Source organism: Homo sapiens, chromosome 2, assembly GCF_000001405.40.
Source record: "Homo sapiens chromosome 2, GRCh38.p14 Primary Assembly".
NCBI lineage: Eukaryota > Metazoa > Chordata > Mammalia > Primates > Hominidae > Homo > Homo sapiens.
The window spans coordinates 65,003,286-65,017,197 of NC_000002.12; the positions used below are offsets into that span (position 1 = coordinate 65,003,286).

Below are 13,912 nucleotides of genomic sequence, written 5' to 3' on the forward strand. Positions count from 1 at the left end.
ATTCCACTTGTTAGTACATACTGCCACAGGCAGACACCTATGTGCACCATGCAGAAGCATGTGAAATCAACCAGGGGACCAAAGCTAGAAAGACGTCTCACTTCTGATAACTGAGTCCCCCTGAAGACTCAGTTAGATGATGCCATCTTGCCTCACATCCCTGGCTTTCAAGAGTGGAGGCTCAAGCCAGATTAGAAAGAGACGGTAGAAGCAGTCATGCTCAAATAAGTTCTAGAACAAAGTGGGGCATAAATAAATGAATGGAAATAAAATGATACAATGAAAAATGAACTTTGGCATTATGGAGTTAATGCCAAGGTTATTCAAATAATATGACATATAAGGCTGAGGAAATATCAAATTATCAGCATAAAATTGTGCAGCCGTCCTTCTCCAAACCATTGCCCAAAGAACATAAGGAAATTCTCCCTGTTTCCTTGGGACACTAAGCAACCCAGAGACCTCTTGAAGTATCTGCTGACTTGGTCCTAATGTAGCTTTTTCACAGTTCTCAGAGGCTTTTGTCAGGCCAGCCAAGTGAGGAATGCCCAGGACACTCAGTGTGAACAGTGACAGAAGTACCAAGAGTGCAGCAGTGCCCTTGGTTCCTCTAGGTCGGTCTTCACCTGTGCACTAACAGTGGGTTTTTTTTTCCTCTTGATCACAGTATGCAACCGATTATAAAGTCGTGACCCAGAACAGCAGCTCTGGAAATGTAACCCATGAAAAGGTAAAGCTTTTTATAAGGTCACTTGTAAAAATATGTCTAAAACAAATCTTATTTCTTCTTTGAAGGAGCATACAGGACGTGGGCTGAAAACTTTGAGGTTTGAATGGGCTATTGGAGCGAACAGGTTAGGTTTGCTCCTTTGGTTATGGCCAAATACCATGGCCAAATACCATGTTGCTCTCAAAGCACTACAATCCTCAGAGGATCCGTAAAACATTTTGTTTGTTGATTTATTTGTTGTTTGTTTGTTTGTTTGAAACAGGGTCTCGCTCTGTTGCCCAGGCTGGAGTGCAGTGGTGTGATCATGGCTCACTGAACTGAACTCTTGGCCTCAAGTGATTCTCCTGCCTCAGTCTCCCGAGTAGCTGGGACTACAGACATGTGCCACCATGCTCGGCTAATATTTTATTATTTATTTATTTATTTATTTATTTATTTATTTTTTATGTTTTGTAGAGACAAGAGTTTCACCATGTTGTCAAGGCTAGCCTTGAACTCCTGGCTTCACATAATCCTCCCACCTTTGCCTCCCAAAGTGCTGGGATTGTAAGTGTGAGCCTGTGCCTGGCCCCAGAAAACATTTTATAAAACCTTTTCTGCCATCTAGAAATGTAATTAATAAGTGATTTAAACTACCCCTATACCTATTACATTTTAAAAAAATCAATATAAGGGAGAAATAAAAATAATTTCTAATAAAATAATCCATATTTTACCATGTAAATATACAACTCTACTAGAAGCCATAATGAAGTTTACAGATACTTGCATTTACTTAGAATAAATAAATTGAGATTTAAAAGCAGTGAGATAGAAGTCAACTAAATATTATAGGCACATTTTTTGCTATTTTTCTGCACATTTTGAAATACATGCTAAATAAAGATTTTTGTATATGTATACAGAATTACCCCAAACGCAACAGCTACAAGTGCAGACCAACATTATGTCTCATACTAGTGACCTGGATATTATTCTAAAATGGCAAATAACACTTGTTGAAGTTCGGAACAAAATAAAGTCTTCCTTCAGTTTACATCCACTTGATATTCTTGGAAAATCCAGTGAATACTAAAACTATGCAGAAAAAATATTTATGGGTAAAATGGAGTTAATCCTAGCTCAGTGCATTTTAAACAGCTTTTTCTCCCTATATGACTGTCTGATAGGATGCTCTGAGGCCTGGGGGATGTAGGAAAGTCTGCATTTGGTTGCCTGAACATTTCAGAACGGATGGCATTCTTAGTACCCTGCCTACTATTTCCCAGTAAGACACCACAATCATTATGACAACCAAAGTGCCCACACACATTCCAACAGTCCCCTAGTGAATGATATCCCCCTGTTCATAAATGTGAATCCAGTCAGTGGCTCCTGATTTTAAAAAATGGAGGTCACTTCACTCTGTCTGGCCAGAGGACGTGGCTGGACGTCCAACTGGGCCCCTTCTGACAGGCCCTGGATTCCACAGCTGGGCTCACTGGGATGTGGGTGTCAGCTAGGCCTGCTTTCCAGGTAAGTGGCTCACTTCTGCATGCCACCCTCTTGGCACAGACACTTTCCGACGTTATTTCATTTGAGCCTTAGGACAACCTGATCAGGTAGGATTTAGTACCCCCACTATAAATTACTTGAAATGATGGTCTTCCAAGGTTGATCAAGGCCATTTTGACCAGTTTAAAAAAAACTAATTGTTGCCCAGGTGCAGTGGCTTACGCCTATAATCCAAGCACTTTGGGAGGCCAAGAAGGGAGGACTTCTTGAGCCCAGGAGTTCATGACCAGCCTGGGCAACAGAGCAAGACCCCATCACTACAAAAAATTAAAATTAAATAAAAGTTAGCCAGGCATGGTGGCACATGTCCATAGTCTCAGCTACTTGGGAGGCCAAGGTAGGAGGATTGCTTGACCCTGGGAGGTCAATGCTGCAGTGAGTCATGATCGTGCCACTGCACTCCAGCCTGGGCAACAGAGCAAAATTATGTCTAAATAAATAAATAGAAAGAAACCAAGAGTGATGAGTAAATGCTAGAACACTAATTGTCTCTTCAATAACTTTAAGTTTTGGCAAATATGGCTGCTGTGACTTCTCCACTGGAAATACTGGTTACCTGTGAGCATCCACCTCAGCTGACATACACTTGCCTTCACTGTAAATTTCACCCAGGCATTTAAGGAGTCAGGCTTTAAGAAAGAGGCTGGTGCAGTGGTTCACACCTGTAATCCCAGCACTTTGGGAGGCCAAGGCAGGCAGATCACCTGAAGTCAGGAGTTCCAGACCAGCCTGGCCAACATGGTGAAACTCCGTCTCTACTAAGAATATAAAAATTAGCCAGGCATGGTGGTGGGCACCTGTAATCCCAGCTACTTGGGAGGCTGAGGCAGGAGAATCACTTGAACACAGGATGTGGAGGTTGCAGTGAGCTGAGATTCTGCCACTGCACTCCAGCCTGGGCAACAGAGCGAGACTCTGTCTCAAAAAAATAAATAAAAGAAAAAAAGAAAGAAAGAGGAGCAGTGTGTCCTCGCTGGTTCCAGGCTTTCCTAAACCCTGTGGCGAGAAGACTGTGTAAAGGCATAGCAGGTGTGGGCCTTGTCCCCAAGGTTGGGATATTGGTGACAGAATGAAAAGTCAAGGACCTAGCCAGGCATGGTGACTCACGCTTGTAATCTCAATGACTCAGAAGGCTGAGGTGGGAGGATTGCTTGAAGCCAGAAATTTGAGACCAGCCTGGGCAACATAGATACGTATCTAAAAAAAAGTTTTTTTTCTATACTAGCCAAGTATGGTGGCGTGTGCCTGTAGTACCAGCTACTTGGGAGGCTGAAGTAGGAGGATCCCTTGAGCCAAGGAGTTTAAGATTACTGTACTCTAGACAGCAACAGAGGGAGACTTTGTCTCTAAAAAGAATTAAATCAATCAAGGACCCAGAGGCTCAAGGACACTTGGAAGGGTGCCTCTGACCCGTGGCTCTATCTTCCATGGCCACTTTGATCCCACGTAATAACTTGCCACAGACACACTCCTCCTAGGCTTTAGTTGAATCATTAATTCATTAAACAATGATTTATTTGGCAACAGCCAGGTGCCCTTCCCAGGTGCTGGACTCCAGTAGTGCTCAATACAGTCAAAGCCCTGCTCTTACAAAGCTCATGTTCTAGTGGAGGGAATCATGTAATAAATAAGTATATGTCAGCCAGTGATAGGCACCAAGAAGAACATTAAAGCAGGGCAAATAGATAGGAAGAGTGTGTTTGTGTGTGTGTGTGTGTGTCTGTGGTGATGGGTACTATTTTAGCAGGGTGGCCAGGGAGGTCTTCTGATCAGGTGAGGGAGGAGCTATGGGGAGATGTGGGGGAAAAGTGATGTAGGCAGCAGGAACAGAATCTGCAAAATCCCAGGGAGACTGGCCAGGATGCAACTCTGGTTGCTTGTAGTCCCCTAGCCCCATTCAATGCTAAGTCTGCCTAGGTGTGCAGCCAGCATACCTTGCTCCAAACCCACCTGCCACCAGCCTCCTCTACAGAAAGGGAGTCATTTCATTGGAAAAATTATTGTAATTGTCCTCAAATCTGAGAGTTGGTTCGAAAGCTGGAACTGCCTGACCTCAAACACCACACTTTAGAATTGCAGACCTGCTAAAACCAGCTCTCTTAATTGTTAAAACAATTTTCTTACTGATTTAAGAAATTGAATAATAAATGTGCATAGTTTGGGGGTACATGTGATAATGTAATACATTAATATAATTTGCAAAGATCAAATCAGTGTACTTGGGATGTCCATCACCTTAAACATTTGTCTTTTCTTTGTGGTAGAAATATTACAATTATTCTAGCTATTTTGAAATGTACAGTAAATTATTGTAAAATATAGTCACCCTACTGAACTATCAAACACTAAGTGTATTTCTTCTATCAACCTGTACATTTGTATCCATTAATCAACTTCTCTTTGTCCCCTTTCCCCCCTACACCTCCTGGCCTCTCGTAACCACCAATCTACTCTTTGTCTTCATGAGATCCACTTTTTTAGCTCCCACATATGAGAACATGTGATATTAAAACCAACTTTCAAATAGTAATTGAATTTTCTGGTTTAATTGAATCTTGACCCTTAATTCCAGTTAGGACTTGGGACATTATCAAAAAGCGTGAGTTGACAGCCCCAAGGTCATCACCAGTTGTTAGCCATCCAGCTCATAGAATCCTAGTAGGCCAGTAGCAGAGCCAGCAATAAATCCCCCAAATCATCTCTCTCCCCCAGCTTTCAGCTATACCCACCGCACCCAGCTTCAATAAGTCAAGTCCCAGGAGAGAGTAGTGACAGTCAGAAGTCTTGGCCAGGTGCAGTGGCTCACACCTGTAATAATAACACTTTGAGAGACTGAATTGGGAGAATCACTTAAGCCCAGGAGTTTGAGACCGGTTTGGGCAATTTAGGGAGATCCCATCTCTACAAAATAAATAAATAAACCTAGCCTGGCATGGTGGCACATGCTTGTAGTCCCAGCTACTCAGGAGGCTGAGGTAAGAGGATTGCTTAGACCCTGGAGATCAAGGCTGCAGTGAGCCGTGTTCACGCCACTGCACTTCAGCCTGGATGACAGGGTATAACCCTGTCTCCAAAAAAATAAATAAATAAAAACAGTCGTCTTATTGTCTATGGAATTAAAATAACATTTTAAGAGGAAGACACTCCAGACAGAGTGAGCCTAGAATGATCTCCAAGATATTCCATTAATATAATAATAGTTCTTGTTGGTTTTCATTTGCCTGACACAGTCTAAGTACTTTACATATATTAACATATTTAATCTTCATAGCAACTTTACATATTAGCTATTGTGACTATCTCCATTTTATAAATGGGGAACTGAGTCACAAAGACGTTAAGTAACTTACCTAGACTCCCACAACTAGGAAGTAGTGAAAGTCAGGCTCCAAAGCCAATGCTCCTTAATTACTATTGCCGCTGCTCCTCTATAAGTGATATCTATCAACATAAACAAAAGCGCCCTATACGGTGATCATTGTCCTCACAATGAAAAGTTGGAAGAAAGGCCAGGTGTGGTGGCTCACGCCTGTAAACTCAGCACTTTGGAAGTGCTGAGGCGGGCAGATCACCTGAGGTCGGGAGTTCCAGACCAGCCTGACCAACATGGAGAAACCCACATGGAGAAACCCCTTCTCTACTAAAAATACAAAATTAGCTGGGCATGGTGGCGCATGCCTGTAATCCCAGGTACTTGGGAGGCTGAGGCAGGAGAATCACTTGAACCCAGGAGGTGGAGGTTGTGGTGAGCTGAGATCACCCCATTGCACTCCAGCCTGGGGAACAAGAGCGAAACTCTGTCTCAAAAAGAAAAAAAAAAAGAAAAGAAAGAAAGAAAGAAAAGAAAAAGAAAAGTTGGAAGGAAATGAAAAGCTACTCCATCACAATTTTTATGATATATATGAATCCATGGCTTTTGGTACATTTCATGTGAATCACACCAGCCACCTACATGTCTCCAGTTAATTTGGAAATTAGAAAAGTATTTAGAAAGAAATTTGTGATGATTTTGAGTACCTATCATTTGCCAGACACTTGGGCTAGGGCCCAGCCTTTGCGCTCAAGCTGCAAGGGCTAGGGAACACCAACGATTATTTCATAATATGTGTTGGTGGGATAAAATGTTTGTCTAATATATGCTTGCAGTAAGGAGATTCAGCATTGCTGGAAAAAATTAAGAATACAGTATGTCTATGCATTTTAAGTCAGTGATTTGGGAAAGAGTATCCTGAAAAAGTCCATGTTGATCGTGAAAATCTTCTGTGAAGTTTGTCGGCTAGGAGGTCACTGTAAGAGCCTCACAACAAAACTCTGTGGATATTTAGGAGTCAAAGTTACAGTCACTGATTTGTTATCTGAAGGAAATTTTTTTTTTTTTTTGAGCCGGAGTCTCGCTCTGTCGCCCAGGCTGGAGTGCAATGGCATGATCTCAGCTCACTGCAACCTCTGCCTCCTGGGTTCAAGTGATTCTCCTGCCTCAGCCTCCCAAGTAGCTGGGATTACAGGCACCTGCCACCATGCCCAGCTAATTTTTGTGTTTTTAGTATAGACAGGGTTTCACCATGTTGGTCAGGCTGGTCTCAAACTCGTGACTTCAGGTGATCCACTCGCCTTGGCCTCCCAAAGTGCTGGGATTACAGGTGTGAGCCACCGCGACCAGCCTGAAGGAACTTTTGACTAACCAGCTCTTCTTTTAAAAGCAGCCCTTTGAGGTGGCTGTCCAACCCCTACTTGAATATATCCCCATGACAGGGAGCCCACTACCTTCCACTTTAACCTATGCCATTTTGGGCAGCTTTCAGAGTTAACTAGAAGAAATTTTTGCTTGTTGGCTTTCTGTATCCTCAGACTACATCTCCCCTTAAGTTTCCTACCCCTTTATTTGCAGAATTGCTAATTGTTAAAGAAAATATGAGCTTTTTCTCGTTCTGGGTACAGTGTTTCAGTCTGGTGGGGACACCAAGCAAATACATCTTTAATTCTCACTCATCTGTTGTAAACTTGTTCTATCCTCTCTGATCCTGCAGATCCCCATAGGCACTGAGATAGAAGGGATGAACATTTTAGGATTGGTCCTGTTTGCTCTGGTGTTAGGAGTGGCCTTAAAGAAACTAGGCTCCGAAGGAGAAGACCTCATCCGTTTCTTCAATTCCCTCAACGAGGCGACGATGGTGCTGGTGTCCTGGATTATGTGGTGAGTGCTGCTTTGCTGCCTACTCTCTCTCTCCTTCCTCCTGCCATCCAGAAAAGAGTCCACCTTGCTGTTCTAGGTACCTGTGTGGGGCCACCTGGCACAATGCTGTGTATGTGGTTGATGCACCATGAGCCAGGCTTGGTACAGGGGATGATGGAAGTGGAGACAGTTTCTCCTCTTGTCCAGGACCTCAGAGAGCCAGGCATGCACCACACTTACCAGTCACTTCCTCAGTGTCCACACTGACCCCTTGGTGTTTCCATCACCGGGATCTGTTTATGGGTTCCTACCACCACCCAGTTCATGTGGGTTGCCCATGTCATCTTGTGGGAAAGTGAATTCCATTAGTTTGCTATCTGTTGCATGAAATAAGGTTCATTTATCTGAAAATGATAGACTTGAAGCTTCAAAGGGACCCTTTACTATAGTAGTTCACAGCATAGAGGACAAGGACAAGTCCATTTTCACCCCATGCATATATAAAGTTGGAATGCTCTTCTTTTATGTAGGCTTTTTTTCTGAAACAGAGTTTTGCTCTTATTGCCCAGGATGGAGTACAGCGGCGCGATCTCGGCTCCCTGCAACCTCTACCTTCTGGGTTCAAGTGATTCTCCTGCCTCAGCCTCCCGAGAAGCTGGGATTACAGGCGTCCGCCACCATACCCAGCTAATTTTTTTTTTTTTTAGTAGAGACGGGGTTTCACCATGTTGGCCAAGCTGGTCTCAAACTCCTGACCTCAGGTGATCTACCTGCCTCAGCCTCCCAAACTGCTGGAATTACAGGTGTGAGCCACTGCGCCTGGCCCTTTTATGTAGGCTTTTAATTTGTAAATGTTTCTTTGTGTGATATCAATGAAAGCATGATTGTTAAGTAACAATTCTTAGATTATTTGCTAAAAGGTAAAAATTTGACCAGCTCCCTCACTCCAAAATCATACCAATTCCAGTATCAATCTCTCATAAGCTTTATCCTGCTGTTTTACCCAAACCAGACCTCTGTGGCTTCTACCTAATGTTTTTCTTTGAGACGGAGCCTCTCTCTGTTGCCCAGGCTAGAGTGCAGTGATGTGATCTCGGTTCACTACAACCTCCGCCTCCTGGGTTCAAGCAATTCTCCTGCCTCAGCCTCCCGAGTAGCTGGGATTACAGGCACCGGCCACCATGCCCGGCTAATTTTTGTATTTTTAGTAGAGACAGGGTTTCACCATGTTGGCCAGGCTGGTCTCTAACTCCTGACCTCAGGCGATCCGCCTGCCTCAGCCTCCCAAAGTGCTGAGATTACAGGCATGAGCCACTGCACCCAGCCGCTTCTACTTGTTTTTTTGTTTTGTTTTTTTGTTTTCTTGAGACAGGGTCTTGCTCTGTCACCCAGGCTGGAGTGCAGTGGTGCAATCTCGGCTCACTGCAAGCTCCACCTCCCGGGTTCAAGCCATTCTCCTGCCTCAGCCTCCTGAGTAGCTGGGATTACAGATGACCGCCACCACGCCCAGCTAATTTTTTGTATTTTTAGTAGAGACAGGGTTTCACCGTGTTAGCCACGATGGTCTCCATCTCCTGACCTCGTGATCTGCCCGCCTCAGCCTCCCAAAGTGCTGGGATTACAGGCATGAGCCACCGCGCCCAGCCTACTTAATTGTTAAGAACTAGTTTCTCCTTCCATGCACAAAGCATTTTCCTTATTTTCAACCCTGAAAGATCCCAGAACTTCTCTCTCTCAGGTAGTGCTGGATGACAGCTGGACTGATTTTAGAAGTTTGAAATTGAATGGGAGGCTAAGTTTAGACCCCCTACCAGTGATATTTCTCTTCTTCAATCTGAAAATTCCAGAGCCTGACTCTATCACTGCCAATGCCATTTCATGTGATTGTTGTTCTAGGGAGAGAACTGATATTTTCAGAAAAGAAAAGGTATTTAGATGTCAAGTTCTTTTCTTGGCTTTTGTTAAGTCTAAAATATTAATATTTTCCAAAGTTTAGACTAAAAAAAAGAAATTGGGGCAGGCGCAGTGGCTCATGCCTGTAATCCCGGCACTTTGGGAGGCCAAGGCCAGAGTATTGCTTGAGCTCAGGAGTTCAAGACCAGCCTGGGCAAAAAAGTGAGGCCCTATCTCTACAAAATATAAACAATTAAATTAAATTTAAAAGTAAAAAAACTGATTGTATTAGTCCGTTCTCACACTGCTATGAAGAAATACCTGAAACTGGGTAATTTATAATGAAGAGAGGTTTAATTGGCTCACAGTTCTACAGGCTATACAGGAAGCATGGCTGGGAAGGCCTCAGGAAACTTACAAGCATGGCAGAAGGTGAAGGGGAAGCAGGCATGTCTTCACATGGCCAGAGCAGGAGGAAGAAAGACAGGGGGAAGGTGGGGGATTACAATTCAATATGAGATTTGGGTGAGGACATAAATCCAAACCATATCACTGATACGTCCATGTTAGGACATTTGCATTTTGTTTTGTTTTGTTTGTTTTTGAGACGGAGTTTCACTCTTGTTGCCCAGGCTGCAGTGCAGTGGCACAATTTTGGCTCACCGCAACCTCCGCCTCCCAGGTTCAAGCGATTCTCCTGCCTCAGCCTCCCGAGAAGCTGGGATTACAGGCATGCGCCACCACGTCCAGCTAATTTTGTATTTTTAGTAGAGACAGGGTTTCTCCATGTTGGTCAGGCTGGTCCCAAACTCCCGACCTCAGGTGATCCGCCCACCTTGGCCTCCCAAAGTGCTAGGATTACAGGCATGAGCCATAGCGCCCGGCCGGACATTTGCTTTTAATCTGGAAACCAGTTTAGTCATTCCTTCAATTTGATGTACCAGTCACATAAGCAGGTATTCAGTAAGGCAGATCCTGCTGAATGTCTAACTGCAGCAAGAGAGCGAGAGACCTGTTGCTCAGAAATGCATATTACACAGAATTGAAGTTTAAAATGCCTTAACTAGTTAAGGGATCTCAACCAAGTATGGGAGGCATTGTCAGTATTACCGCTTTCTGCAATCTTTCTTTTACTAACTACCCACTCCAAAACCCTAGTACCTGCCTACCCTACACTATTCACAGAAATAACTTTCAGATGTATTAAACCCAGAGTCAGCCAACTTTGCAAGCCACATGCTCTCTATTGCAACTACCCAACTCTGCCACTGTAGGAGAAAAGTACCTATTCACAATTTGTAAATGAAAGAGCATGACTGTGTTCCAACAAAACTTTATTTACAAAAACTCACGCTGCTAACTCCTGGATTAAACTGACCAGGGAGAAAGGAAGAAAAGAAGGAAAGAAAGAGAGGAGTCTTCTAAAAATATTAGAAGAAAATATAGAGGCAGGGAAAGCCTTCCTAAACAAGATATAAAAAGCAAAAGCCATAAAAAGCTGCTAAACTTAACCACATCAAAATATAAAAAGTCTGCATGCAAAAGATACTTTGAACAAAGTTAAAAGTCAAGACATTCATTTCTAAAAATTGATATATATATTTGCATACTGCATATATAGAAAAAAAGAGTTCTGATTACTGAAAAAGAAAAATCACTGAACAAACCATCAGAAAATAGACAAAGTATGTGAAACCTGAATTACCAGTAAACATTTTAAGGGATGCTCAACCTCATTAGAAATAAGGGAAATGAAAATTTGGTTTTATCAGGCATTGATAATGGTGAGGGTGAGGTTTCTCAACCATGACACTATTGACATTTTGGGCTGATCAGTCTTTGTGGGAGGCTGTCTCATGACTGTAGGATGTTTAGCACCATCCTGGCCCCCACCTGCATGATGCCACTAGCACCATGCCCCAAAAGTTATGACAACCAAACTGTCTTCCAGACAAAATCATCCCTGGATAAGAACCACTGTTGCAGAGGGAAGATTATTCTCCTGGACTGCTGGTGGGAATGTGATATGGAATAACCACTTTGGAGAACAAAGTGGCAGTATCTACTGAAATTTAAAATATGCACATCCTATAACTTAGCAGTTCACTTCTTAGCATCTCTACCTAGAGAACAAAGGCATGTGGTTACCACAAAGTATGTTTGCAGTGTCGTTTGTAACGATAAACCTGGGAACAACTTAAACATCCACCAACAGGACGATGACAAAATAACCTATGGTATTTCCATTCTGAAGATAATATTTAAAGACAATGAGGTAAAGGTGGAAACAACCCAAATGTCCATCATTGGATGAATGGATAAACAAAATGAGATAGAGACATACAACAGAATATTATTCAGCCTTAGAAAGGAGTACAATTCTAGCTCATGCTCCAATGTGGATGAAGCCCGAAGACATCATAAGTGGAATAACCTAGACACAAAAGGACAAACACTGTATGATTCCACCTTTGTGTACCTAGAATAGTCAAATTCAGAGAGACAAGAAGTAGAACAGTGATTCTCAGGAACTGTGAGGAGGGGAAAGTAGGCTGTTATGTTTAATGATTTCAAAGTTTGGGATGATGGAAAAGTTCTGGATTTGGATAGTGATGATAGTTGCACAAGAATGTGAATGAACTTCATGCCACTGAACTCTACACTTAAAAATGGTTAAGATGGTAAATTTTATGTATATTTTACCACATTAAAAAATGAATGGGGTAGATTTCTATGTATTGATATGAAAAGATTTCAAAGATGTAATATAGGGTGAAAAAGAAAAAAACACATAGATTTAAATACATACCTATGTATCTAATTGCATAGGAGGTAGGAGTGTCTATTTGAGGAGGATCCTGGCTTAAGGATGGTACTTAAAGAGGATTTTGGTGTCATCTACGTTTTAATTTTTTGAAAGGAGAATGTATTCATGTATTACTATCGGGTTTTTAATTAATAATTACTGCTTAGAATATCTCTAGAAAGAAAACTCAAGAAACCAGTGACATTGTCTCCAGGGAGGGGAAATCTGGGTGCTTGGGAGAGAGATGAGAGGGAGACTTCACTCTGTTCACTCTTTTGTACCCCTTGAAATTTGAACTATGTGACATTATTACCTACGCAATTAAAATTTACAAATAAAGTCAGCAGTTAGAAAATTCTTCCTGAATTTATATTAATTCAAAACAACTGACTTTTGTTCTTTGTAGCTCCCACAGTCCATTCCTTCCCATCCTGCCTTTAAAAAACTCTCACGCTCCAGGCGTGTTCCCAGAGTGTCATTGTTAATGACTTTTTCCCACGGAATCATGTTGTCTAAGCCACAAAGAATTTAAAACTTCACAAAAGTCCTAGCTTTGGCTCAATTTTCTATCACAGCCACTCTGTGAAATAGGTGTTAGTCTTTTGTGTTTCTAAGTTCTCAGAACAAGCCTGAGCAAAGCCAAAAGTCAGGCTTACAGTCCTGGAGGCTTTGATCTCGATTTCCTTGCCTTTCCTCCTGGGAATCCCTGTGACTGGTAGCATCCTTCTGTTAAGGACATACTGTATCCAAGGGGAAAGACGTCTGGGTTCTGGTCCTGACTCTGTTACCCTTGGTGAGTGGTCAGCCTCATTTTACCCAGTCTCACAGGCTGTAAAATGGGGATGGTATAACCCTGACTGTTTCGGTTCCTCGGGGTTATCCTAGGGAGAGATGAAGACGGCCTGGCTGAAAGTCCCTGCATTCTGCCTCAGGAAGGACCTGCATCTCTCACCCCAGCTTTATCCCCCACTGATGAGTACCCTGTGCTTGTGCCCTAGGTACGTACCTGTGGGCATCATGTTCCTTGTTGGAAGCAAGATCGTGGAAATGAAAGACATCATCGTGCTGGTGACCAGCCTGGGGAAATACATCTTCGCATCTATATTGGGCCATGTTATTCATGGAGGAATTGTTCTGCCACTTATTTATTTTGTTTTCACACGAAAAAACCCATTCAGATTCCTCCTGGGCCTCCTCGCCCCATTTGCGACAGCATTTGCTACCTGCTCCAGGTGAGTGGGTTTTGGGTCTCTTCACTGCTCTGAGCCATGTTAACATGGAACCAGGTGAGCCCAGTGGTAGATGCACAACCAGTGTCTTGACATACTTTAATTCCTGGAAAACTCTAAATCGGTCTTCTGTTATTTTTTTGTTTTTTCTTCTTTAAGAGACAGGATCTTCCCGTGATTGCCCAGGCTGGTCTCGAACTCCTGGGCTCAAGTGATCCTCCCACCTCGGCCTTCCGAATAGCTGTGATTACAGGCATGCACAGCCACACCAAGCCTCACATGATTTCTTAAAATGACCAGCCCCAAAGCTTTTCTGTATTCCCCTGGGGTGGGTTTCTGTTTCATTTACTATTCTACTGAAGTTACCTCATTCTCTTCTCCCTCTTGCTCCTTAGAGGTCAGCAGATCATTAGTTAGCCCAGCTGCGGGTCCCTCACCCTAATTAGGAAGACCTTTCCCTGAGTAAAAGAAGGCAGCCCACCTAACTCAAAAATGCATTGCAGGGAAGTTTCTAGAATGGTTCCTGC

General features: G+C 42.9%; 1 protein-coding gene across 4 annotated transcripts in view, besides 1 other annotated feature; it reads left to right on the top strand.

The window, feature by feature from the left end:
* Nucleotides 1-13,912, top strand: part of SLC1A4 (solute carrier family 1 member 4) — a 35,387-nt gene that overhangs the window by 14,807 nt on the left and 6,668 nt on the right. For 3 of the 4 annotated variants that reach the window (NM_001348406.2, NM_001348407.2, NM_003038.5), the window contains exons 3-5: nucleotides 668-730; nucleotides 7,312-7,478; nucleotides 13,155-13,388. In NM_001348406.2, the coding sequence (NP_001335335.1) occupies nucleotides 7,339-7,478; nucleotides 13,155-13,388 (374 nt within the window). In that variant the 5' untranslated portion in view covers nucleotides 668-730; nucleotides 7,312-7,338. The remainder of the gene's footprint in view (nucleotides 1-667; nucleotides 731-7,311; nucleotides 7,479-13,154; nucleotides 13,389-13,912) is intronic. The other variant, NM_001193493.2, reaches the window with a different exon arrangement.
* Nucleotides 13,741-13,820: an enhancer, noted in NCBI's record as "active region_15923". NCBI's record gives its function as "activates an Ori minimal core promoter by ATAC-STARR-seq in GM12878 lymphoblastoid cells {active_cell/tissue: GM12878}" and the evidence as "EXISTENCE:reporter gene assay evidence [ECO:0000049][PMID:35858748]".